The sequence below is a fragment of the Homo sapiens genome, chromosome 11 (assembly GCF_000001405.40).
Source record: "Homo sapiens chromosome 11, GRCh38.p14 Primary Assembly".
Taxonomy (NCBI): Eukaryota; Metazoa; Chordata; class Mammalia; order Primates; family Hominidae; genus Homo; species Homo sapiens.
In genome coordinates, this window is record NC_000011.10 from 12,306,568 (window position 1) to 12,334,567 (window position 28,000).

Genomic DNA, 28,000 nt, shown 5'->3' on the forward strand with positions numbered 1-28,000 from the left:
ATATTTTCACCATCCTAAATGGTCTTCTCATGACTCTTTAGAATTAATCCCTTTTCCATATTCCCAGTCCCTGGAAAACACTGATTTGTTTTCTGTCTCAATAGTGTCGCCTTTCCTAGAATGTCATATAAATGGAATCATACAGCATGTTGTCTTTTGTGTCTGGCTTCTTTCACTTAGCGTAATGCTTTTGAGATTTATGCATGTTGTTGCACATTTCAGTAATCCATTCCTTTTTATTGCTAGTAGAATTTCATTGTATGGATGCACCAACATTTGTTTATCCATTTACCAGTTGATAGACATGAGATGGGGTTTAGTTTTTGAATGCGAATAAAGCTTCTATGAACATTAATGTACAGGTCTCTGTGTAGAGACATGTTTCCATTTGCCTTAGCCAAGTTCCTAGCTATGGGGTTGTTTGGTCATTTGGCAAGTGCATGTTGAGTTTTATTTTTAAACTTGTCAAATTATTTTCCAAAGTGACATGCCATACAACCATGCACAAGAGTTTCGGTTACTGTACATCCATGCTAACACTTGACATTGTCAGACTCAAATTCTAGCCATCCTAATGCCTATGGTAGTATCTCATTGCAATTTTAATTTGCATTTCCCTAGTGACTAATGATGTTGAGCTTCTTTTAATGTATGAATTTTTTATTTGTATATTTTTTGGTAAAGTAGCTTTCAAATCTTTTGCCCATTTTTAAATTGTGTTGTTTCTTAGTTTTGAGTTTTAAGAGTTCTGCATATAAATAAATCCTTTATCAGATATATGTTTGCAACATTCTTTCCTAGTCAGTGGATTGTTGTTTCATTTTCATTACAGTATCTTTCAAAGAGCAGAACTTTTTAATACGATGAAGTCAAATTTATTGATTTTTTCTTTTATAATTTGAGTTATAGTTAAGATATCTTTGCTAAACTCGAAGTCACTAAGAATTCCTCATATGTTTTCTCCCAAAAGTTTTATAGTTTCTAGATTTTCGGCTTCAGCCTTTAATCTGATTCTAGATAATTTTTTTACATTGCAATGAATGCAAGATTCTAGTTAATTTTTTATAGTGAATGTAAGTCATGGGTTTTGTTGTTGTTGTTGTTTGCCCAGAGGTATCTAATTGCTTCGGTACCACTTGTTTTAAAGACTGTTCTTTCCCCATTGAGTTACTTTGACACCTTTGTATATAATCAATTGACCATATATGTGTAGGTCTATCTCTGTACTCTCTAATCTGCTCCATTGATCTATACAATCATCTTTACACTAAAAGCACACTTTCTTGATTATTGCAGCTTTAGAGTAAGCCTTTCTTTTTCTTGTCTTGTCTTTGAAACAGAGCCTCACTCTGTTGCCCAAGCTGGAGTGCAGTGGCTTAATCATAGCTCACTACAGCCTCCAACTCCTGGGCTCAAGTGATCCTTCTGCCTCAGCCTTCTGAGTAGCTGGGACTGCAGGCACACACCAGCATGCCTGGCTAATTAAAAAACAATTTTTTTTTAATAGAGACAAGGTCTCACTATGTTGTCCAGGCTAGTCTTGAACTCTTGAGCTCAAGTGATCCTCCTGCCTTGGCTTCCCAAAGTGCTGGGATTATAGGTGTGAGCCACCAAGCCCAGCTAGAATAAGTCTTGAAAACAGGTAGGGAAAGTCTTACAACTTTGTTTTTCTTAAAAATTAATATGGCTGTTCTAGGTCTTTTGTGTTTTCATATGAATTTTAGAATTAGCTTATCAGTTTCTACCAAAGAAGCCTACTGGAATTTTGCTTGTTATCTATAGATCAGTTTGGGATAAACTGACACCTGTTTGGTCTTTCAATCCATGAAAATGGTGTATCTCTCAATTTATTTAAGTTTCTTTCACTTTAATTTAGAATGGTTTTTTTAGTTTTCAGTGTGTGGATTTTTCACACATATTAAATTTATCTTTTAACTATTTCATGTTTTTGTTGCCATTGTAAATAAAATTGCTTCCTTAATTTTGCTTTTAAATTGTTCCTCATTAATATGTAGAAGCAAATTAACTTTATATTGACCTTACTAAACTCACTTATTATTGTAATAGCTTTTAAATAGAATTTTAGCAAGACAATCATGTTGTCTGCCAATAAAGACAGACTGACATCTTCCTTTCCAGTTTGTATACCTTTTTTTCCATTCTCTTGCCTTATTGCACTGCCTAGGACCTCCTATACAGAGCTGAATAGAAGTGGTGATAGTGTACACCATTGTCTCTTTCCCAATATGAGAGAGATTGTATTTCACCATTGAGTATAATGTTTGCTGCAGATTTCTTTTGTCAGTCCTTTATTAGATCAACAAAATTTCCTTCCATTCCTAGCTTGCTATGAGTTTTAATCACGAGTAATGATAAATGTAAGCAAATGCTTTTTCTGCATCTGTTGGATAATCATATGCTTTTGTTACTTTAGTCAACATGTGCTAAATGACATAATTTTATATGTAACTTTTTTGTATTTTTTACTTGATAAATCATAGTTTTATTTGTGTTTTGGATACATGTGATATTTTGATGCATATATGTAATGTGTCATGATCAATCAGTAATTGAAACATCAATTTACTTCAAACATTCATCTCTTCTTTGTCTTAGGAAACTTACAATTCTTCTCTTCTAGCTATTTTGAAATTTACTATAAATCATTGTTACCTATAATTTTCCTATTGTACTATCAAACATTATAACTTATTTCTTCTACTAATTGTATTTTGTACCCATTACCCAGCTTCCCTTTAGCCTTCCCTCCCCACTTCTGCTTCCGTGGTAACCACCATTCTACTCTATCTCCATGAGATCCACTTTTTCATTTTTAGCTCCTGTGTAAGTGATAATATGTGATATTTGTCTTTCTGTGCCTGGTTTATTTCACTTAACATAATGACCTTCAGTTTCATCCATGTTGAGGCAAATGACAAGATTTTATTTTTTATGGCTGAATAATATTCCATTGTGTATATATATACCACATTTTCTTTATTCATTCATCTGTTTATGGACACTTAGGCTGATGCTGTATCTTGGCTATTCTGCTGCAATAAATGTGGGAATGTAGGTGTCTCTTCAATATACTGTTTTCCTTTCTTTGCGTTATATACTCAGCAGTAGGCCTGCTAGATCATATGGTAATTCTGTTTTTAGTTTTTTGAGAAACCGCCATACTGTTTGTCATAATGGTTTTACTACTTTATATTCCCACCAACAGTGTATAAGTAAATGTTCCCCTTTCTCCACATCCTTGCCAGCATTTTTGATTTTTTGGTCTTTTTGATAATAGCCATTCTAACTGGGGTGAGATGATATCTCATTGTGGTTCGGATTTGCATTTCCCTGATGATTAGTGATGCTGAGTATTTTTTCATACACTTGTTGGCCACTTGTATGTCTTCTTTTAATAAATATCTATTCAGGCCTTTTGCATTTTTTATTTGAATTATTTGGTTTTTTGTACTGAGTTATTTGAGTTTCTTATATATTCTGGTTATTAATCCCTTTTCAGATGGATACTCTGCAAACATTCTCTCTCATTCTTTAGGTTGTGTCGTCATTTTGTTAATTGTTTCCTTTGCTGTACATAGGCTCTTTTGCTTGAATAATCTCAATAGCCTGTTTTTGCTTTTGTTAGCTGTGCTTTTGAGGTCCTTCCCAGAAAAATCTTTGCCCAGACCAATGTCCTATAGCGCTTCTCCAGTGTTTTTGTCTAGTAGCTTCATAGTTTCAGGCCTTAAATTCAAGTCTTTAATTCACTTTGAGTTTATTTTTGTGTATGGTGAACGATGGAATCTAGTTTCATTCTTCTGCACATGAATATTGAGTTTTCCCAGCACTATTTATTTAAGAAACTATCCATTCCCCAATGTATGTTCTTGGCACCTTTGTTAAAATGAGTTGACTGTAAGTGTGTGGACTTATTTCTGGGTTCTCTATTCTGTTCCATTGGTCTATGTATCTGTTTTTATGCCAGTATCATGCTTTTGGTTACTATAGCTTTGTAATATAATTTGAAATCAAGGAATATGATGCCTCCAGGTTTGTTCTTTTTGCTCAGGAATACTTTAGCTATTTGGGGTCTTTCGTGGTTCTGTACAAATTTTAGGATTTTTTTTTTCTATTTCTGTGAAGAATGTCATTGGTATTTTGATAGGGGTTGCATTGAATCTGTAGATGGCTTTGGGTAGTATAGACATTTTAACGATATTCTTCCATTTCATGAGGATGAGACTTCTTTCCATGTTTTGGGTGTCTTCTTCAATTTCTTTCATCATTGTTTTATAGTTTTTCTTGTAGAGATCTTTCACTTCTTTGGTTAAATTTATTCCTAGGGTTTTTTTTATTTGTTTGTAGCTATTATAAATGGGATTGCTTTCTTGATTTCTTTTTCAGAAAAGAATCTTGATTGATTGCTCTTAGTGTATAGAAATGCTACCAATTTTTATATATTGATTTTGTATCCTGCAAATTTACTAAGTTTATCAGTTCTGAAAGGGTTTTTGTGTGGAGTCTTTCAGTTTTTCTGAATACAAAATCATGTCATCTGCAAATAAGCATTATTTGACTCCTTCTTTTCCAGTTTGGATGCCACTTATTTCTTTTTCTCGCCTAACTGCTCTGGCTAGGACTATTTAGATATTTGAATGTTAAATCATTATTGTGTTCCTGAAATAAACCCAGCTTGGTCATAATGTACTACCTTTTTATGTATCACTGTATTGAATTTACTAATTATTTTTCAGAGTTTCACACCTATGTTTATAAATGATGTTGGCCTAAAATTTTTCTTTCTTTTTTTTTGGTTGGTGTTGTTGGTTTCTTATTTATTTTATTTTATTTTATTTTATTTTGAGACAGAGTCTTGCTCTGTTGCCCAGGCTGGAGTGCAGTGGCACGATCTTGACTCACTGCAACCTCTGCCTCTGGGGTTGAAGAGATTCTCCTGCCTTAGCCTCCAGAGTAGCTGGCACACGCCACCACACCGGCTAATTTTTGTATTTTTCTTAGAGACAGCGTTTCACCGTGTTAGCCAGGCTGGTCTCAAACTTCTGACTGCCTTGGCCTGATCCACCTGCCTCGGCCTCCCAAGGTGCTGGGATTACAGGTGTGAGGCACCATGCCTGGCCAAATTTTTCTTTATATCTTTATCAGGTTTTGGTATTAAGCTTACGCTAGTCTCATAACACAACTTGAGAGTGTCCTTTTTCTGTTCTCTGGAAGAGCTTTTTGTTTTAATATTGGTGACATTTTTATTAAACATTGGGAAACAAATGAAGTCATATAACCTAGAACTGTTTTTGTGGAACGTTTTTTAATTATAAATTTAGTCCCTTTAATAGAGAACTAATCACATTTTCTATTTCTTCTTGTGTTTGTTTTGGCAAATTGTGTTTCCAATGAATTTATTCAACCTATGTTTTTTAATTTATTATAATAGTTTATATAAAAACAAATTTTTAAAATTATTATTATATAATAGTTCATATAATAACTTCCTTTAATAATACTCTATGGGACTTCTCATCCCTAATATTGGTAATTTTTGTTTTCTGCCCATTTTTTGCTTAATCATTCTTAATTTTGTATTTTTAGAGTCAAATTTTCGCTTTGTTGATTTTCAATTTTATTTCTGCTTTATCTTTATTGTCTTTCATAATCTGTTCTTATCTTGATTATTTGCTTCCTCTTACATTCTTTAGGTTCAATTGTGGTTCTTTTTCTAGCTTCTTGAAATGGATCTTAGAACAACATTTCTCAACTTTTTTTTTTTTTTGCATGATGTGCGTTTTATGTAAGGCTCTAAATTTCTCTCTAATTACTACTTTAACTGCATCCCAGTCATTCTGTTATGACACACTTTTATCATCAGTCAGTTTAAATTTATTTATATTTTTTCTTCGATCCACAGCGTGTTTAGAAAAATATTACTTAATTTTGTCAAGTCCAAGAGAAAACTTCCCCCTCACCCTCTGAAAGGTTGCTGAAAATCACCAACAAAAGGCAGTTTAACAGGAGAAAAGGCATACAAATTTATTTGATCATAGTTTTTTGTGACATGGGAGTCTTCAGAATTCAGATCCAAAGATAGAGGGAAACTGTTCATTTTTATGCTTAGGTTCAACAAAATATGGATTGTCATGAAGAAATATAATTGGACAAAAAGAGTAAAATCTTATGCTAATAGACTGGGGAAACCCAGCAAGGCCTGTCTCTTCAGATCTTTCTTGGCCTCTCTGTACAGCATTCCTTTATTTTGGGTATGGGGCAGGATCGTCTCTGGAATAGGAGTCTTAAGATCTAGAGTCGGCCGGGCGCTGTGGCTCACGCCTGTAATCTCAGCACTTTGGGAGGCCGAGATGGGCGGATCACAAGGTCAGGAGATCGAGACCATTCTGACTAACACGGTGAAACCCCGTCTCTACTAAAAAAAATACAAAAATTAGCAGGGCGGCATGGCGGGCGCCTGTAGTCCCGGCTACTGGGGAGGCTGAGGCAGGAGAATGGCGTGAACCGGAGAGGCGGAGCTTGCAGTGAGCCGAGATAGCACCACTGCACTCCAGCCTGGGCGACAGAGCAAGACTACATCTCAAAAAAAAAAAAAAAAAAAAAGATCTAGAGTCAAACAAGACAAGTCAGATTATTTCTTTATGGACAGTTTTTACACAGAAAGGGAGGTGGAAAGTTAGAGTAATATTTTTAGATTTTATGTCTGGCTTTGAGGGAAAGGGGTTCTGGTTGTTATGACCTGCCTTGAGGAAGAGGGAGTCTAGTTTCTATGAATAACCGCGGGGGGAGAATGAGAGGCCAGGAGAGCAGGAGAAGGTCAGAGGAAGCTGCTTCTGAGACCCTACAATTTCTACATGATTGTATTGATTTCTAGCTTAATTCCACTGTTATCCAAAGACATACTGTGTGTGACTTAAGTCCTTTGAGATTTGTTGATACTTGCTTTATAGCTTGACATATCATCAATTTAATAAATGTTTCTTATGTACTTCAAATAATTTATATATGTGTATATGTACATAGATATTAATATACTCTAGTTATTGGATGTGATATTCTATATTTGCTTATCAATTAGGTCAAATTTATTAATAGTGTTTAGTTGTATCTTCTATATCCTTGCTGATTTTTTTTTATTTTGTCTGGTTTTTCTGTCACTTGCTAAGAGAGCTTTGTTTAAAATGTCTAACAATGGTTGAGGGGTTTGACTATTTCTCTTTCTAGTTAAGTAAGTTTTTGCTTTATATAGTTTGAGGCTATGCTGTTAGGTATGTACACATTTCTGATTGTTATAGTATACTTTTGAATTGATGCTTTGATAATCACTAAATGTCCCTGATTTTTGTTGTATTTCTGGCCTTAATGTCTTGGTCTGATTTTTTTTTTTTTTTTTTTTTTGATAGCTATACAAACTTTCTTTTGGTTTGTTTTTCACATGATATCCCGTTTTCCTTCTTTTACTTTAATGTTACTGTATTATTATATTTAAAGTGTCTGTCCTATAAGCAACCTATAGTTTGGGTTTCTGAAAATCCAATTTGATGGTCTCTTTTATTTTGAATATTTAGTCTACTTACAGTTAACATAATTACTGATATATTTGGGTTTAAATCTATCCGTTTACTGTTTGTTTTTCATTTGTCTCATCTGACTTGTTCATTTTTTCTCTTTTCTTGCTTTATTTTTAATTAATCCGGAATTTAAAAATTCAATTTCTTCTTTTACTTATTATTTATGTAATACATAGTATGTAGTGCTTGTCATTATGTATAGTTTGTTCATTATTATTTTGGCTGTTACCCAAGAGACTATAATGTTAATTGATAACTAAAATGAATCTATATTAAATTAATTCTCTTATCTCCTTCTGGATAACCTAAGACTTTAGAAAACTCTATTTTTTTTTTCTTTGAGATGGAGTCTCGCTCTGTCACCCAGGCTGGAGTGCAGTGGCGCGATCTCGGCTCACTGAAAGTTCCGTCTCCTGGGTTCACGCCATTCCCCTGCCTCAGCCTCCCGAGTAGCTGGGACTACAGGCGCCCGCCACCATGCCCAGCTAATTTTTTTTTTTTTTGTATTTTTAGTAGAGACGGGGTTTCACCGTGTTAGCCAGGATGGTCTCGATCTCCTGACCTTGTGATCTGCCTGCCTCGGCCTCCCAAAGTGCTGGGATTACAGATTTGAGTCACCTTGCCCGGCCAGAAAACTTTAAACTCCATTTATCTTCTTTCAACTTTTGTGTGATTGCTGTCATATATTTTAAATCAATACATATTTTAAACCCATAGATATTATAATTATGGTTTGAAACAGTCCTGAATGTGCATGGATTCATGCACATTTTCTGTTTTAGTGGTTCTTCATCTTTTTCTGCATCACAATACTTTCATCTTAGATTGGTTTTCTTCTGCCTGGAGAACTGTCTGTGGCATTCCTTTTAGTGTGAGTCTGCTGAGGATAATTCTGCCAGGTTTTGTTTGAAAACGTTTCACTTTTGCCTTTGTTTTTAAAGGATATTTCTTTAGAATATAGACTGCAAGTTGACAGTAGGCACTGTCTTTCATCATTTAATGATATCATGCCATTGTTCATAGCTTCCATTGTTTCTCTTCAAAGTCAATTGTCAGTCTTATTTTTACTTCTTTGAAATTAATACATATTTGTTAGCTTCTTACAGTATGCTTAAATCATTGATTTTAAACCTTTCTTCTGTTCTAATATAAACAAGGTAAAGCCATACATTTCCCTCTGGGCACTGCTTTAGCTGAATCTTACAAATTCTAATATGTTGTGTTTTCATTCCATTCAAATTGCTTTTAATTTTCTTTGTAGTCTGGGTGACAGAGTGAGACTCTGTCTCAAAAATACATTGTTTTAATTTTCTTTGTGATTTCTTTTTTTGACCTATGGGTTATTTAAAAGTGTATTATTTAATTCTCAAATATTTTGTGGATATTCCAGAGTATCTTTCCGTTATTAATTTCTAATTTCTACTTTAATTCTCCTGTGGTCAGAGAACATGGTTTTCATTATTTCAATCTCCTTAGAACTTTATCAAGATTGTTTTAAAGCCAAGGATATCGTCTAACTTAGGAAATGTTTCCTGTGCGCTTTCAAATAATCTGTTGCTGTTTGGTGAAGTGTTCTATGATGTGAAATAGGTCAAGTTGTTTAATAGCGTGTACAAGTCGCATACTCTTACTTTTGTGTACTTATTCTATCAATTTCCAAGAGAAAAGGGTTAATACCCCTTAGCTATAATTTTTGAATTATCTATTTTTCTTTTCAGTTTGGTCAATTTTTGCTTCATGTATTTTGGAGCTCTGTAATTAATTAATATTTAATTAATCAAGCACGTCTGTATTTTGTTTCTTTAATTTAATCAAGTGTGCACATATTTAAAATTGTTTCATTTTCTTGATAGGTTTACCTTTTATTATGGAATGTCCCTCTTTATCTTTGTTAATATTCCTGGTCCACAAATTACTTTGATACAGCCACATGATCTTTCTTATTGATTAGAGTTATCACACTCTAGTTTTTCTAAATTTTTACTTTTAATTTCTCTTTATATTTAAAATGAATTTATTATAGACAATATATAGCAGGTTCTTGCTTTTTTAAAATCCAGTCTGACAATATCTTCTTTTTAATTGCAATGCTTTGACTGTATATATTTAGTGAAAATGTTGACAGTAATTGTTTCAATACATTAACATGAGATATCTTTTGATTTCTTTGTGTCTTCAATTTCTTTTATTAATGTTTTATGATTTTCAGTGTATAGGTCTTTCACCTCCTTGGTTAAATTTATTCCTAGGTGGTTTTTTTTTTTGAAGTTATTATAAATGAGATTTTTTTCATTCTTTTTCAGATAGTTTGTTGTTCATGTATAGAAATGCTCCTAATTTTCCTATGTTAATTTTGTGTACTGCAACTTTACTGATTTATTATAATAGTTTTTTTTGGTGGAGTTCTTGAGCACATTTATAATAGCTATTTCAAAATTCTCATCTGCTAATTCCCTCATATCTGTCATTTCTGGGTCTGCTTTTATTGACAAATTTTTCTCTTGATTATCAGACTTGTCCTGCTTTTTTACATATCTAGTAATTGTTCACCAGCTGCCAGACTCTGAATGTTACATTGTAGCATGTCTATGTTTTGTTTCTTTAATTAAGGAATTAAATAGGCAGTAAAGAATATTTGGCAGGCAGAAGTAGGGTAACTTGCAGATCACTTGTTTTCCTTTGAAGGCTTGCTTTTAAGCTTTTTTCAGGTGAATCTATAATAACCTTTACTCTAGGGCTAATTCATTCCCCGTGATTTTTCTGTGGTCTCTATCAATGCCTTAAATTTTTGTTCTACCCTGGCTAGGTAGAACTTGAACATCTCTCAGTCCTAAAGAAGCTTTCAAGATTGTTTAGGCTACAACTTTCCAGCAGCTATTTGCCCAACCTCATAGAGTTTCTCTTTATGTATCTATAGTTTACTATAAGCAATAGACTCAAGGGGATTTCTATGCTTAGGTGTGAATTTCTTCTTTTCATAGCTCCCTCTTCTCCAATACTCTGCCCCACGTATTCCAGCTGTCTCAGCCTGCCCAAACTTTCATCTATCTTTTCAACTCAATGAATCTGTTATGCTTTATTTAGTTTCTTCTTACCTGTACTGTGATCTGGAAAGACCCTCTAGGCAGAAAGTTACTGTGATTGTAGGACTTTCCTCATTTGCTTCTGTTCTTGCCTTTATCACAGTTCTGCACTGCCTGCTGTCCAGTGCCTGAAAATAGATGCTTCATGTATTTTTTCTTAATTTTCAGTGCTTTGTGTTGGGAGATGAATTCCAGAATCAGTCATTCTAACACAGCCAGAGTGGAACAATGCTGCAAAGTCTTTAAGATTTTACAAATGAAAAGTGTACTAGGCCAGGTGCAGTGGCTCACACCTATAATCCCAGCACTTTGGGAGGCCGAGGCAAGTTGATTACCTGAGATCAGGAGTCGAAACCAGCCTGGCCAACATGGCGAAACTCCATCTCTGTTAAAAATACAAAAATTAGCAGGGCATGTTGGTGGGCACCTGTAATCCCAGCTACTCAGGAGGCTGAGGCAGGAGAATCACTTGAACCCGGGAGGCGGAGGTTGCGGTGAGCCCAGATCATGCCACTACACTCCAGCCTGAGTGACAGAGCAAGACTCCGTCTCAAAAAAAAAAAAAAGTACTAGAATGGTTGGTTCTGTAATGGAGAGAGTAACAAGAAAAAGACTCAGTGGCAACTATATAACTTCTTTCTTGCCGGAAGTGTAAGAAATGCCTTATCTTTGGAAGCATTTTCTCCTCAATTTCAAAAGAAATTTCAATGGAAATATTTATTTTTTGAAAGTTAAAAGAAGTTTCAACTTAAGTTTATGTTTCTTCCATAAACAAAGGCTAAATAGGCAGTTTTCTAATGTTGCAGTATTGTTATTTTAGATCAGTGATGATGATCACGTGGTTCCTGCTGCTCTTGCTGCTACCAACAATAAGAACATTTACTCAGGCACCGCTAATATACCGGCATTGCGCTAGGCACTTTACACTGATTATCTCCACCCTTCCACAACAATTCTGCAAGTTAGAAATCATGATCCTGAGAAACTCAAGGAGGTAAAATTATTTCCTCAAGGTCATATGCTAAGAAGTGAACACTCAGTGACTGAATTACTCAGTGGTCATTTAGTGGCTAGAAGTGGGAAACAATCTCAGCTCATCAGTAACAATGCTTCCTCCCATTATTATACTGCTCTCTGATTCTATCTTTACCTGAGCTTTCCATCTGGCAAATTAAACCAGAAAACAGGGATGTTTTGCATTATTTTGCTTTGAATAACAACATATGTAAATGTGCTCCTGGAGGCTAAAGCACCCTTATTTTGTCAAACTTGGCCTCTCTCACTAGGGTGAATAGTTGAAAATTTTAAGGAGGAAAAGGCAGGCTGGAGAGAATGTTAGTTGACGTGGAGGTGCTTCTCCTTTCCCCCGACCCAACACCTATTTCTATTCAGACATAAGCAGCCACAGCAAAATAAAGATTAGTAAATTTCGTATCGTGGAGTCCTAGCTGGTCCTGATATTCAGTAATCAGAGTGGGTTAATCCAGCTATTACTCATTAACTCTGCATCATGTTGATGTGTAGGGGCAGATGTTCTTGCTGAGAAGAATAAAAGCCTCCTGTGGCACCTGGAAGACCTTATCACACATGGTCCCCGGCCAGATCACAGAGCGATTCTAGTTAACGTGGGCACTTTGCTGCCTCTAACCATCTACCTCTTGTTCAGAGACTGGCATATCTCCTCGAATTCGGCTCTCCCTTGGGCCCTGTGTTGTTGAGCCATCCCTATCTTAAACTGCCTTTCCTGGCATTTGAATCACCACTTCGATGATGTGATAACATCTGCAAGTTGGGAAAATAAAAATGGCATTTGTTTAGCCATAATTAATGAAATATTTATGTTGCATGAGACTATGTGATAAAACCTTAGGCTTAGAGTCCTTTTGCTTCTGATTACATTTGGGATTTTTTTTTTCTATGACCAGACATTCTGACGCCAGCTCTTTTACACTGAGCAGATGTCATGTAGTAAAAATGGGTGCCAGATGCTGTGAGCCGCAGAAGGGCGATTTGTTTAAGAGCTGGCTCCAACTTTTTTGCATTCAATTACTCTGCAGAACGAACCTTACACAAGCATTTAGGTAACTCAACTAACTTCAGACATGCATTTTAATAATAGATTTTATCTCTGAATGCATTCTGAGCAACACACCATATAAATGGTGTTTAAGGAATTAATTGATTTCTGCATAATACCTTGGTTTTTTCTTTTTTTTTTTTAATGTGAAAAGAGAGCTGCAAAGCTCTTGGCAGGGACCCAGAAATGTAATTAACATGGAGGGCCAAATTTTCAGTTGCCCTTAGGTACTGTTGCCTCATGCTCACGGCAGGTGCAGTGAGGGGAGGGCAGGGAGGAAGGGAATGAGAGTAAGTGGGGGAGGAGGAAGCAGCAGCTTTGGTTCATAAAGCAGGAAATGAAGCTAGCAGTTCATTGAGTTTTTCTGTTCCCATTTCAGACTCCAAGAACTTTCCCCTCAGAGCACAGGTAACAGAGGCTTCCTCTTCTGCCTCTTCAACCTCCTCCTCCTCTGCAGATGAAGAATTTGATCCCCAGCTTTCCTTGCAGTTAAAGGTAACAACACTTGACCAGCCAAAGAGGGCCTTGGCTGGTGGGGGCTGCTTACCATCCAGATTTCAGAACCAATGTGGGCTCCAGCTGCAGTGGTTTCCTTAGGAGGATCATGTTTCATTGCATCTGACAGAGTGCTCTCTTTACCTTGAACACCCAAAGAATTATCTTCTTTAAAAAAAACTTGTAGAAGTTTGCCTTTCTCAGACGCAAATTTGGGAGAAAAAAAAAAGACATATTTACTTGAAACCATTTGGTGATGGCAGCTCTTAAAGTGGGTTTAATATGTGGTCCAACAAGCAAACCATCGAAAACATTACAACAAGCAGATGCATATTTCCCTGGGGGAAGCACAGCTTCATTTAAGAAGCACTAGAGGCAGATTGCATGGAAAATGTTATGTTTATTCTAATCAGAAATATGAAATGAACCATGCAGTTGCATCTAGACATGGATACTCCAAAGATCTCTGCTGTGGAAGGGACAAGCCCCGTGCCAGCTGGGGAGATGGCAGACTTCTTTTCTCAATGAACATTAATGTTTTTGGAGAACTCTTTAAACAACTCTCATATCCATAGATTAAAAAAACACAAACATTTTATATGTTTATAAATGTGTCTGTATGTCACATACACAGAGACAGACATCCCATAACCAAAGCCCATCATTGTTTTCTTTATCCACTGAAGCTGGAGCGTTTTCACTGAGACAGTAGAGTACTTGGTGGGGTGGGGGTGGCAGGGGTTATTGAATGGTTGGACCTAAAATGCTTCCCGGGTAGAAAGAGAAGCAGTTCACTGCTCTGGTAGTGTTTATTTTTTGGAGTAGTGAGGATCTGGGGAGGGAGGAGGAGAACCAAATTTATTTACTTACACTCAACTTTTCTATATCTGGCATTAGGAGATTTGACATCATCTCAAGTCACTCTGGGGTTCCAACTCCCCATGGCCCAGCTTGGAGCAAGGCAGGAGGGGTCTGGGAGGTGTGGTGTGGGGAGGGGAGGAGAGAGGAAGAAAGAGGGAGGGAGAAGAGAGAGAGACAGAGAGAGTTGAGGGAGAAAGATGTATGAATTTCTCATTTCTAACAATGGTGTCCCTGATTAATTCAGTATTCAACACAAATGAATTCCGTGTGTCTTGTGTTGATTTCTGTGGTTTTCTTACTGCCCCTCTCATCCCCTTGAATGACCCTGAGTTAATTCTATATTCAAATTAGGCAGAGATCCCAGCATCAGCCATCTTGACACTCATGGAGAATAAAAGAATAGAATGGCCCAAACATATTGAAATAGCAAGACGGTGGTATTTAGGACCAGTCTCACAAATAGCTCCTTGTTCTCCTGCTGGCCCAGAACAGAGCCCGCCATCACGTCAGCTTGCCAGGTGGTAAAGCATGCCCGCTTCACCTGGCTTCTGACCTGGCCCACTCTTACACTAAGGGAAGCTGGCAAGAAGATTTCTTTTTTCCAAGTTCTCGAGGGCTCACACTGAAGGAAAGAGAGGAGGTTTTCGTCCTCTGGTTTCTTTGTCTCTTCTATCCCATGCAGGTGTGTCCCCAGCCAGGTGGCACGGAGACCATGACAGCTCAAATGAACCTTTGCACAGGAAACGAGGCAGGATGTGTCCTCTTGGCCTCTTCCCTTTGCTTCACCCTTGCTCCCCACTGCCTCTCCTCCCACACCACACCCAGATCTAAGAGACTAAGGCAGGAAGAGACGCAGCAGCTTGTCTTTGATTCTGCCAAGCTTCTGCATCTTTTCTTCCCTAGCCCTTAGCGTCTTTCCCTCTCTGCATCATCACCATCAGTGAGGATATAAGAACTGTGCCTTGTATATGTAAGGCTGTGTGTTTATTAATGAAGCATTCTTCTTTTCTGTATCAGCAACTTTTTAATAAAAGGCAATACATGACTTTCTTTCCTCCTCTAGGTTCTGTTTTGCTGACTCTTGAGAAAGAGTCAGAGTTTGATAGCTTTGCTGCTGGGAAGCGCTAAGACCACATGATGCTGTTGAGGCAATTCCCCCCACCTTTCGCCTGGGAATTGCATTCAGTGGTCTTCATTTAGGGGGAACATTGGCATTTCTTTTCCATAGTCCCACTATGGAAAAGTAGAGTAGGTCCTTGTTGTGTCTAAACGGTATTTGGCACAAGGAAAGGCAGTATAGACCAAATGAAATGTGGATACTAGATTCAGGCTACCTGTGCCTAACTCCTGGCTCTGCCTATTAATAATTGCATCATCTTGTATAAGTTAATTTCCTCTCTGAGTTTTTATTTCCTTACCTATAATGTAAGTGCAATTTGAGGAATAAATGGGATGATACATGTGAAATAATTAGTACAGTATCTGGCATATAGCATTTGGTAAATGAGAGGATTTATTACGTAGGTTAGTATAATGGAAGCTCAAGGGGCAGTTGTTAATAAATGAACTGACTCCATATAGGCTAAGTTAGACAATCTCTGGATGACAGTTACCATTGATCCCCACCACCTCTTCCCTAGAGCCTTTCCAGAAAGATCCTAGCTGCCCCATGAAGAATCCCCCGTCCAAAAGGTCTGGAATCCCCATTCAGAGTGATTGACAGTCAATCTGGTAGTCATCTCATGGAAACAGAGATGACATGATATGGAATAAGTTGAGTTCTGAGAGTAAAATTTTCTTCCAAGGATGAAGATCTTTAGGATTTTAGGTCCTAAGGAGAATTCCAGAAAAATAGCCTGTAGGCACCAAGCTAGCTACGACAATTTTTAAATTTCATATTTATTTATTCCAGCATTAAAAAGAAATGTCTAGCATGCTCTAATCCTCATCCTAGTATACAGAAAGTTGATGTGTATGCTCAGAGAAGGCAAACGAGTAAAAATAGCCCAATTTGAACATTTATTTTGTAGATACAGAATGTCTGTGTGTGTATGTATAATATATACTCCTACACACAAAAATCATAATAGATTTTAGTAAAATGTGATAATCATGCTAATTTAAAATATAATAATATACGAATGCTATAAAAATCATGCTATTAGTATTTACTGAGTGTTCTTCCCATGTCTTTTTCAGGTATTCTACAAAAGGCTTAGCCTTATTATTTCATTGAGTCCTTAGTGTATCCCTACAAAGTAGGCAGTAAATTCTTCTCATTACTCTAAAGAGAGCACTGAAGTTCAGAATGTTGTGTGACATTCTGAAGCTCACACAACTCAGCTGGGATTGGATGCCAGCTTTGCCTGTCTTGTGGGCCCAGTGCTCAACCATTAGTCTCTGCTATTTCTCCCATTTTTAAGTGCCTCCTGAACTTTCCAGTATGTGGAATTAACCACACCATCACTTCTTTTTGCTCTTGTGTCTAAAACCTGGAAGTGATACTATCAAGATCTAGACTTCTACTTTATATGCATCAATTTAAAATTTTTTTAACAAGCACAGGTACACACACACCCAGTGACAGTAATGCTATAATTGTATAAACAAAGTGAGGTTGGGAAGAGAAGCAATCTCATGCTTCCCTCAAGCCAAAAAACACTTTCATTGGAATGATACATTTCTCCATTTCCAGGTTTAATTAGCCACTGTAGACTCAACCTAAGCACTATTTAAAGTTGTTAACTGGTTTTCATGTAGTGAGAGAGAGAGAGTATGTGTGTGTATGTCTGTCTACTTGCCTACCCGTCTCTCTCTCTCCCAAGCCCCTCATCCCTGGGCCATATCGTAGCACCCCTGTAAAGTATAATTCTTATACCATTCCTTCTCTCAGCTGAACCCAGACAGTATTCTATTATAGCAATTCCCAGCTACAGACCTACACATACACTCCCTCCCAATACACACATAGCAGCTTCCCAATCCAGAACCTACTAGCGACATGTGGCTACTTAAGTTTACATTTAAATTCATTAAAATTGAATAAAATTTAAAATTCAATTTCTAATCCACACTCACTTCAAGTGTCCACTAGCCACATGGGGCTTGTGGCTTCTGTATTTCAGACAGCCACAGCTATAGGTTATTTCTATCATTGCAGAGAGTTCTACCAGATGTCGTTATTTTAGAAGGTAAGCAGTGGCTGGGAATCATTAGTTGGAGAGGGTAGAAGCCTATAACGATATTTTGTAAATTTCAACCCCATTTTTCTCTGACATAATTTTTTTCTCCATTGGTTTTCATAGGAGAAGAAGACACTTAGAAGAAGAAAGAAGCTAGAAAAAGCAATGAAGCAGTTGGTTAAGCAAGAAGAATTGAAAAGACTCTATAAGGCTCAGGTCAGTAAATAAACTGGACATGAGTGAGTGGGCCTGGGTCCAGGATCCTGGGACTCTGGATGGGAAAGAGTTTTGGGGGTCTGCATTGTATTAGGGAAAGCAGGCTGGAGAAAGGTCAGTCTTGTTCTCTGAGGAACCAGATTTGTGGCCGTTTTAAAGAGGCTCTGGCTTAGTCTCAGTAGGACTCTGGGTCCTGGAGAGCCCCCGTGTTAATCTGGCCTATTCTCAGCCACCCCTCCATCTGCAGACATGTGAGGCTGGAACAAGAGCCAACGCATGGCCTTGGGAGTCATCCCTGACTGCCACATAGCAGTGAACTTAGTTTTGTCTTCTGTGAGGACACAAATCTTCCACCAACTCCCTGACAGTGTCTTTACTAAACTGACAGCTGTTAAGGGCTGTCTCTATTTCAAGATTAGTTGAAATCATAAGTATCTAGCATTCCAATACAGATTTCCTGGCCTGATTGCTTACTTCAAACACTTCCTCCCAAGTTGCTCAGCCACAACTCCATCACAGACAGGCAAAATGAAGCAGAAATTCAAGGCATCCTCCACCTCTCTGAGGAACCCAAGCCTAGTCTTGAACAAGAGTTGGGTTTTAGGATACACGGACTTAGAATGACCACTCATGTTAATCCAGTATACCCTCACATCCCTTTCTCCATTTATTCCCTTTATCTGGCTAATAATCCTATACACTATTTCTGACAGAGTGACGTCATTCAATCCACCCTCCTTTACCCTTCCCCGTGGCTGACTTGGGAGCTACCTCTTTCACCTAGTGAATGGGGAAAAGTCACTTCTGTCTACTTGCAACCTCTAAAACAGGTTTCCTTGAAACACTGCAACTTTTCCTTCCAAGAACAAGACAAGTCTTATGATATTGATTGGCAAACTAGGCAATGCCTCTTCCTTGTATTTTCATCCCAGATGGTTGTGATGAGAGAGGAATTACAATGGCCTTTTGAGTCCTGCTGGCACCCATAGCAGCCCTTTTTAATCTCTGAGACTTTCATCCTTAGTTGTTGTTTTTTGTTTTTTGGTTTTTTATTTTTGAGACAGAGTCTTGCTGTGTCACCCAGGCTGGAGTGCAGTGGTGTGATCTCAGTTCACTGCAACCTCCACCTCCTAGGTTCAAGCGATTCTCTTGCCTCAGCCTCCTGAGTAGCTGGGATTACAGAAGCCCACCACCACGCCCAGCTAATTTTTGTATTTTTAGTAGAGACGGGTTTTCACCATGTTGGCTAGGCTGATCTCGAACTCCTGAGCTCAAGTGATCCTCCCACCACATTTTCCCAAAATGCTGAGATTACTGGTGTGAGCCACCGTGCCCAGCCTCATCCTTAGTGTCTAAAGAATGACACTGTATTCGTCTGCTTGGGCTGCCATAACAAAGTACCACGGACCGGATGGCTTAAACAACAGAAACTTATTTTCCTCATGTTCTGGAGCTGAGAAGTCCAAGATCAAGGTGCTGGCAGGTTTGGCACCTGGTGAGGCCTCTCTTCCGGGCTTATAGACAGCTGCCTTCTTCATGTGTCCTCACATGGTCTTTCTGTGAGTTCACGTGAGCAGAGAAAAATATCTCTGGTGTCTTTTCCTCTTATAAGGACATCAGCTGCATTGGATTAGGGCCCCAGCCCTATGACTTCATTTCACCTGGATTACCTCCTTAAAGGCCCTATCTCCAAATATAGTCACACTGGGGGTTAGGGCTTCAACATATGCATTTGGGGTGGGACACAATTTAGTCTCTAAGAACCAGATAGCTGTTACTGCACAGTGATCAGCAATAAAGCCATTTAGGTGCTTCCTTTCTTTAGCAATTCTACAGCATGCCAGCAAGAGATGGATTTATAAAGATATAATTGTCTTTAAGGGAGAGACAGGAAGAGGGCATGAAATTACAAATAGTTTTAAGTAGACTTTCCATCTATTTCAGATTTTATGTTGGGACTTAAGCACTCATAGCTGGGACAAGAAGAGCCCGGTGGCTGTGCAGGCCCCACCCCTCCCTGCTTGGGTCCCTTTCCAGGATTGGAGGGGCCTCGGCTGCTGTACTTGTGATTCCAGGGGAGATTTAGAAAGACGTGGGGTTAAGGAAGAAGGGGAGTGAGACAGAGTAAAGTAAAACAGAGGAGGAACACAGGCATTCTGTCTGCCCAAACAACTGACTGTTCCTTGAATATGCCTGTTCTGCCAGGTGCAAAGTCTGTTCTGCCAAGGGATGTGCCTTTTGACAGCATGGTATTTGAAAGCAGAGAAAATGGATGGGGATGAACAAAATTTATATAGGAATGGCTTTTCCCTAACTTCTTTCTAATATACACAAGAGATTAATAGTTAGTAAGGAAAATAAATATGTAAATGCAAATAAAGTCATGACCCCAGACCTTAACAGGTGTCTATAATGAACCTAAGGAGAGTATGATGTCATCCCCTAACAAGTTAAACATCTTGTGTCTCACCTTAATAACCTGCTAGTAACAAAGGCACAGTACACTTCCACAATGAAAGAACGCTGGGCATCTGCCCATGGTGCAATGAAAGAACAGGTACAATTTGTAGCTAAGGACAGGAGCAGGACAATCTAAAACAGGAGCACGAAACCCCGGGATCTGGCCCAGTTCTCTTGCTCCAGACTGACTCCTTGGGAGGTATAGGCTGGTTCTTCTTGGAGAAAATAGATTATGCAAGTACTTTGTTTGCCCCTGGACCCCCTACCCTACTCTGAACAGTGGCTGCAGCTCCAATCATTATGCCACGGCCATAGTTAGGAGCCATGATGACTGCTCACCTCACCCAACAGCCTCTGTCTTGGAGGACATCTGTGATTGGCCTTGTCTAAGGGGACTGTTTTAATGTCTACTTAAGGGCCAGTTGAACATACATACAAATTCCTTGCTTTATGTTGCATGCTAAGGAAGGGAAACATCAGGGTATAGTTGTCTGGGAATTCAGAGGTCCTTGCCTAGTTATTCAAGGCAGGACCATCACAAGTGAAAGGGCCTCTTTCTCCTGGAAAGTAAGTGGCAGAATCAGCCCCTCTTGGGACTCTATGTGGAAAGTCCTTGTGTGACATCTGATCCTGGTGTTGCAGGCCATCCAGAGGCAGCTGGAGGAGGTGGAGGAGCGGCAGAGGGCTTCTGAGATCCAGGGTGTGAGGCTGGAGAAGGCGTTGCGAGGAGAAGCAGGTACGGCATCCCAGCAGATCCGGAGCAGTGGGCATGGTCTGAGAATAGTGCTAGCGTAACCATCTGAGGAAAACAGACCTTGTCACCTGCTGGAGATCTGTCAGCATGGACATATGGTGGTAAATCCACAAGTGCCGCACACTTTAAACATCAAACTATTGTTTCTCGGCCTTTTGGCCAAGATCAAATGTAAAAATCAAACTAGTGGCCCACTTTGAAATTCCCAGGAGCATTGGTCAGCCCGCGGGCCTTGTAACTGGGCGTCTGTTCAGCCCCACCTCTCCACTGGCTAACACGAATGTTCTTTGCAATTCAAAGATTAAGATAAATTCAGGAGAAATATATGGGTATTGGAGCAGTGTTGGTAGTAATTCAAAACTCAGAGTGAGAGTCAATGTCCTGGTTTTTCCTTTACTACCTGTACGACCTTGGGCCAGTCACATTATAAACCTTTATACTTTTTCATTTCCTCATCTAAAATGGGGATAATGTGGTTTTCTCCTTTATAGAACTGATATAAGCCACCTCTCCACTGGCTAACATGAATGTTCTTTGCAATTCAAGGATTAAGATAAATTCAGGAGAAATATATGGGTATTGGAGCAGTGTTGGTAGTAATTCAAAACTCAGAGTGAGAGTCAATGTCCTGGTTTTTCCTTTACTACCTGTACGACCTTGGGCCAGTCACATTATAAACCTTTATACTTTTTCATTTTCTCATCTAAAATGGGGATAATGGTGGTTTTCTCCTTTATAGAACTGATATAAGGATTAAAGAAGAAATTATATTTGATGCTTAAGTTAACACATTGCCTGGCCCAAGGTAAAGCAATAAGTGGTAACTTTTCCAGTAATAGCTTCAGCTTCTTGGATTCAAACAGAACTCATCTGGTGAAGACCTACTATGCATTAGACATTAAAACACTGGGTCTGTAACAATGAGTATGATGCAGTTTCTACCTTGAGAAGTTTATAGTCCATTGAGAGGCACACATAGGTAAAGAGGTAATCCACAATACAGTATGACAAATGCTGTCATAGGAACAAGCATTAGGGTACAACGTGAACAGAACCAAGAGGTTCCTAACTGATCTTGGGGCGAGGGAAGCCATCAAGCAAGGCTTCTGGGAAGGGGTGATCTATAAGATGAGAACCAGAGGAGGAACAAGAGTTAACCAGTAAAGAGGAGATTGTTTTGGCAGAGGGAACAGCACCTGCAAAGGTCAAATGTGGAAAGACATGAAATATCTTCACAAATGAGCTAGTGAAGGGTTTTCAGGTAAGGAGTGGCTTAAAGAAACCTACATTTTCGGAAATCTTCCAGTAGGGGTGTGGCTCATGAATTGGGGGGCCCTAAGAGTTTGTTGGGGGTATTGTCTCTTTAGTTTTATAATGTGATGTCTTCAGCCTTCAGCATTTGAGATATAAAAGGTGAAAAACTGAGCACTGAAATAATGTGCAATAATATAAACAACAGGTTACTTGTTACTTAACAAGTGAAACATTAGGATTTCAATTCTTTAAGAGTCCAGTTACATGAGAGCGATGAAACTAGCAGGTGCAGACCCAGATTTCCTGAGGCCTGGAGTTCATGCAAAGTCATGCATGTAAAATTGTGAGGGCTGCTTCCAGAACCTTGCAAGGACCCATCCAAGTAAGGGGTCCTGAGGTTTCAGTTTCATTAACTGCATGGTTAATTTAGCAACTAGATTTCAGGGAAATGCTAGAGTCAGACTTTACCTCTTCTGTGCTTCAGTTTTCTTGTTGGTAAATTGGGAGTGCTAATAATACTTGTTACTTGTATTTGTGGTGAGGATTAGCTAAAATAATTTATGTAATATCCATAGCCAGTGCCTGGCATGGAGCAGATGATTAATCAATACCTGTTTGTTTTTTTTACTACAATGCACTGGATTTCCTTGCAAAGATGACCCAAATTTGCTCATTAGAAATAGGCTTATTACAAATATAAAGAGTTTCTTGCTGCCTGGACTGAGAGTCACTGTCCATCTCTACAGCTGCTGTGGGACTTTTGGTAGAATGAACTGCCCTTGTTTGGTGCTTGGTCATATTCCCAGTCCAGAAGGCTCTGGTCCTTGTCTTTGACAATCTGCTGATCTCAGTGAGAGCATTAGAAAAGAAGAGGAAAAACCAGAAAAGCCAGGGCGTGCTTCAGTTTGCCGCCAGCAACACAGGCCAAGAGGTGGCATGGTGGGAAGTGGGGAGCTGTGGGCGCCAATAAGCCAATAAGCCCTGTGTTCAAATTCTATTCCACTCCGCTTAGGCTGAATAGTCCTGGGAAAATCACTTAACCTCTCTGGTCCTAGATTTTTTATCTGAAAAGTGAAGATAATAATCCCCATATTATCAGGTCATTTTGAGAATTAGAAGTGTTGATAGGCAAAGTCTCTACCGGAGTATTGCCTAGGTTGTAGGCATTTAGTAAACACTACTCATATCATTTTACAAAATATTACTAAGTATCCACACACATCTTCTTTTAAAGAATTTGTCTAATTTTTACTGCTTGAAATTTAAATGATAGAAACCAAAATTGTAAAGCATCTTCTGAAAATCTTCCTCATCCCCAAATATGAAAAAAAAAAAAAAAAAAAAAGAAAAGAGAGAGCTAGTTTGAGTTATAGCAAAAGAAATCTGGCCAGCTTGTGATGTTTCGGAGGTGTGCCAAGCCAGACAGAAGATGGATTCCATTCATTCCCTTTATATCCTTGGTAATTTAATTCCCCTGTTAAGTTTATGGGCCTTTTTCCCATGATTGTCCTTGTGTGGGTGACAGATGCAGATCAACAAGGGGCTGGAGACTAAAAGAGTCAAGACGGGAGAGTGGCCTCAAAAGCAACCAAATGGAAGTTTTGCAGACCAGCCACCAAAATTAATATACTCTAACTTGTAATAACATTTGTGCAATAATAATATTCCTTGGTGGTTTAATATTCTATTCAGTCCCTTTAAGAGATTGCCCTGTTGCTTAATGAATGACCAACGCTTATTAGGTTAAGTTGTATTTGAGCTGGCCTGTGCTGCTCCGGTTCAAGTGATTTAATGGGAATTATTTAATAGGTATTATTAGGATAATTAGAAAATGATCACAGTTAGGCAATAATATTGAGCTATAAAGGTTGTGAATAACCAAATTTAGAGACAGACCTGAAAACATGAGTAGTCTGCGACAGTTATGCAAGGCTCCTCTGATAATTATGTAGGCAGCCTGAAAGGGGCTTTTGTTCTGGGAGTTATTCATTAGGCGGGCATTGAATTAGAGGAACATGCGGGGGTGCGGGATGGAGGGCAATGATGGCTGATGAGCAAAATGAGGCTTTGATGAGCTCCTCATTGTCGTGACAACAATTCCTGCTTTCTTTTTTTACAGCAGTCAGAAATAAGCTCTCCCGCCCCCGGGAAGGGTTTTTCCCCATTTTGTCAAGGAAAGGGAAACAAAGGAAAACAAAAATCTAATAATCCACCCCAGATGACAAATCATTATGTTTTGCAGGACGTGGAGAGAGAGAGAGAGAGACAGAGAGAGAGAGAGAGGGAGAGACAGACAGAGAGAGAGAGAGACAGAGAGAGGGGTAGAGAGAGAGAGAGAGAGAGACAGAGAGAGAGAGAGAGAGTGTGTGTGTGTGTGTGTGTGTGTGTGTGTGTCTGTATGTGTGTGTCTGTGTGTGTGATGTCTTTGACAGAGGTAAGAGAGTCCCCTCTTGGTCCTAGCTGCCCAGGTGAAGGACCAGGATATGCAGTAACCTGATTCCTGGGGGCCCTACCACCTTCTGGAAAGAGGCCAAGCCCAGCTCTGCAGCCACTTAGACTCTTATTGGTTGAGGCACTGTTACCTACTGGCTTGTTGCTTGTCAATATGATGATCAGTGTTACATACTAGGGGCATGGAATACCCCAGTCTAGCAAGAGACCACCATTCAAATTTAAATGGTCTGGATAACACAATCTGGGCTTTCTTTCAATACCTGGAATCTGATGAAAACTGAGTAACTTCGAAAGAGAAAGGATTTCTCCCCAGGGGAGGTCGATGAGAATAATTATTCCCTTATAGCTTTACCAGCTTTGGGGAAGATTTACCAGCTAGTTGTCTGCATGGAGCTTCTTGCCTTTTTTGGAGCCAGATGGTTTCTTCTTCCCGGAGATTGAGGGGTTTACCAAGAAAAATTAGGATGCACAAAGTGCCAGCAGGTGGCAGCAGGAGCACACATTATGTGAGAAATGCTAGCGAAAGCCTCTCCAGGACCGGGGAGGTAGCTGAGCTTACACTCCATGGTTTTCACTGCTGCTGAGGACCCGAGGAATAAAAATTCCTGGATAATGTACAGTGAGGTGTCCTGGACAGAGCACAGGCATTAGAATCAGACACTCCTGAGTTTGAATCCCAATGTAGTCCTTATACAATTATTTACTTTTCTGCGAAATTTTCTCATCTGTAAAATTGAATGAATAATACCAACCTCACAGAGGTGGTATGAAGAAAAGATGAAGTGAAATAATGTTAGTAAAGCACCCACAAAAGGGCCTGAAATAAAATAGGTATCCAAAAATATTCCTTCTCTTTTCTTTTATGTCCCTATTATTATAAAACACAGCTGGATGGTCAATGACTTCTCAAATTGTATTTATTTGTTTGTTCATCCATTCACATTCATTTGTAACTATACTCCCTACAAGAGATTTAAGCCGGTTTCTCTAAATATTTGTAATACATGAATTTTGCATGCCTGATCCAAACAAGGATCTCAATGAGGACTCATTGTTATCACTCCCACACCCCCGCCACCACCGCCCCCAAAAAACAGTAATGCAATAAAAGCTGTTCAACAAAGATAGCAGACTATGGGTTTTGAGGCATGCCTCTCTGACACTCTGCCACAATTTGGGAATGGGTTTTAGGAAATAGATATTCTTTAGGTTTCCTTCCATAACTATTTGTTCTCAAAAGGTACTTGAAGGCAGTGAGTTAAAGGTTGTACCCTTTCATCCATCATTAGACATGGCTGGTTGCTGTGCATTCATAAGTCAGCAGAGCAGGGGAAGGGTTGAGATCTTCTGTGATTCTAAAGGAGTCTCTCTAAATACAGGTAGCCATGAACACAGAAACACAGATAATATTATTTTGTCACATAATATAATGGGATATTGTCAGAAAAGGACACCAACCTTATAGATAATGGTCAGGAGTAATAAGACTTCAAAGTGGATGATTAAGCATGCAAGGAACTTGGGTTGTTTGCCACAACTATGTAGGTGCAAAAAGTAAACAACAAAAGTCAGTACATCAGAGCAAGAGAGTTTATTATTCACAGCATAGCAAACAGCAGGAACATCAGCTCGGTAGCCCAAGTTGCCCTGTTCCCAAGTCCCATGGTGTGACATGATGAGCCCAGATGGCACCTGTGCGTGCAGTGAGTTGTCCCATAGCTAGGGAGCCCCAGGAAAAGGACTCAGCAGCTTTTATAGCAAGCAGTAAATGAGCCAATTCCCCTTTCCCAGGAAGCAAGTAGTTGTGCAGTAGTCACACAGTAGTATCCTGACCCCCTTCTTGGAATTCTCTACCTGACTAGTTAGAGGAATGGCTAAGGTTCAGAGGATGGTAGGGCCTTGCAGTTTGGCTCACTCAGCAAAGATGTACAGGGACACTCCTAGTCTATGGAAGACTGGCTCACTCAACAAATACCGACAGTCCGCTTGCTGTATATTCACCTCTGTTTCCAGCTTCACTGGCCACTCTGTAGGAAGTCCATGGCCTCATTGCAAGCCAAATATTGAACAAACGTATTAATGAGAGACTAAAGCTGACCCTTGCAAGTTGTTTTTTAAAAATAAGACAGAAGACAGAAATAAAGAAGAAATGGAAAGGGCAGATGCAACCACAGATACAGCAAAGATTCAAAAAGATAAAAGAATATAACAAACACTTAATCCCGTTAGTTTTTAAATCTGGCAATCTAAGGGTGATTTTACAACTACCATATTGAAAAATTAAAGAGGAAAATCTTATGGTCTTTTCAATAGAAGAAGGAAAATCATTTGACACAATTTAACATCCATTTGCTAAAAACTTTTAGCAAAAAAAAAAAGCAATAGAACAGAATAGAACTTTCTTAATTGAAACATATTTTCCAAAACCATGCGGCAAACATCACTGTTAAATAGAAGCATTTCTTTAAAAATCAGTAATAAAATAATGTTGCCTACTCTTAAGTCTTCTATTTAACTTTGTGCAGGAGATCCCAACCAGTGTGGTAAGACAAGGCAGAGAAAGGCAAGAGGTTTGGAAAGAAAGAAAAAAAATTTTGTTGTTTCCAGATGCTAGGATTGTCTATATGACAAAAACCCCAAAATGTACAAGTAAACTATTAAACATAATATGGACCTAAATAACAGTGACTGGATATAAGCTCAAACTAGAAAAATTAATTGCATTTCAATATCTCAGCATGAAACACCTAGAAAATGAAGTAATAAAGATATCACTTACATTAACATCAAAAATATAAGGTACCTAGGAGTAAATCTAGCAAAAAACATGTACTATCTTATGGAGCCAATTTTAATACTTTTCTGAAAGTCATCAAAGGATCCAAACATATTCTTATATATATGAAAAGTTGATATAAGCCATCAGTAGCATTAGAGATCACAGGAAATAAGTGATTCTGAGACAATTGGTTTCCATAGAGGAAAAAATGAAATTGAGTCTTGTTTCGTACCATACAAACAAATCAATTCCATAAAGATTAAGGACTTTAATGTGAAAATTGAAACTTGAGATGTTAAGAAGAATCTTTTTTTGACCTCAAGTTGTTAGTCAATAGATACTATAAAGGAAATGAAAAGACACTCATTTGGAAAATATACAGTCACACTCTGTTATCCACAGAGGATTTGTTCCAGAACCCCTGAAGATACCAAAATTTGAGGATGCTCAAGTCCCTGATATAAAATGGCGTAGTCACTGCGTATAACCTATGCACGTCCTCTTGCATACTTGAAATCATCTCTAGATTACTCATAATACTGAATACAGTGTAAATGTTGTGTAAATAGTTGTTATACCATGTTGTTTAGGGAATAATGACAAGAAAAAGAGTCTGTGTATGTTCAGTACAGACACAACCATCCTTTTTTTATCCAGAATATTTTCTTTTCTTTTTTTTTAATTTTATTATTATTATACTTTAAGTTTTAGGGTACATGTGCGCAACGTGCAGGTTAGTTACATATGTATACATGTGCCATGTTGGTGTGCTGCACCCATTAACTCGTCAATTAGC

General features: G+C 38.5%; 1 protein-coding gene across 1 annotated transcript in view, besides 1 other annotated feature; it reads left to right on the forward strand.

Moving 5' to 3' along the window:
* MICAL2 (microtubule associated monooxygenase, calponin and LIM domain containing 2) overlaps positions 1 to 28,000 on the forward strand; it is a 251,551-nt gene that overhangs the window by 195,978 nt on the left and 27,573 nt on the right. Inside the window, exons 32-34 of the mRNA NM_001393937.1 lie at positions 13,129 to 13,244; positions 17,411 to 17,503; positions 20,606 to 20,699. Coding sequence (NP_001380866.1) covers positions 13,129 to 13,244; positions 17,411 to 17,503; positions 20,606 to 20,699 — 303 coding nt within the window. The remainder of the gene's footprint in view (positions 1 to 13,128; positions 13,245 to 17,410; positions 17,504 to 20,605; positions 20,700 to 28,000) is intronic.
* Positions 23,903 to 24,404: an enhancer, noted in NCBI's record as "H3K4me1 hESC enhancer chr11:12352017-12352518 (GRCh37/hg19 assembly coordinates)". NCBI's record gives its function as "activates a minimal SCP1, AML or CMV promoter by ChIP-STARR-seq in primed H9 embryonic stem cells {active_cell/tissue: H9 hESC(primed)}" and the evidence as "EXISTENCE:reporter gene assay evidence [ECO:0000049][PMID:30033119]".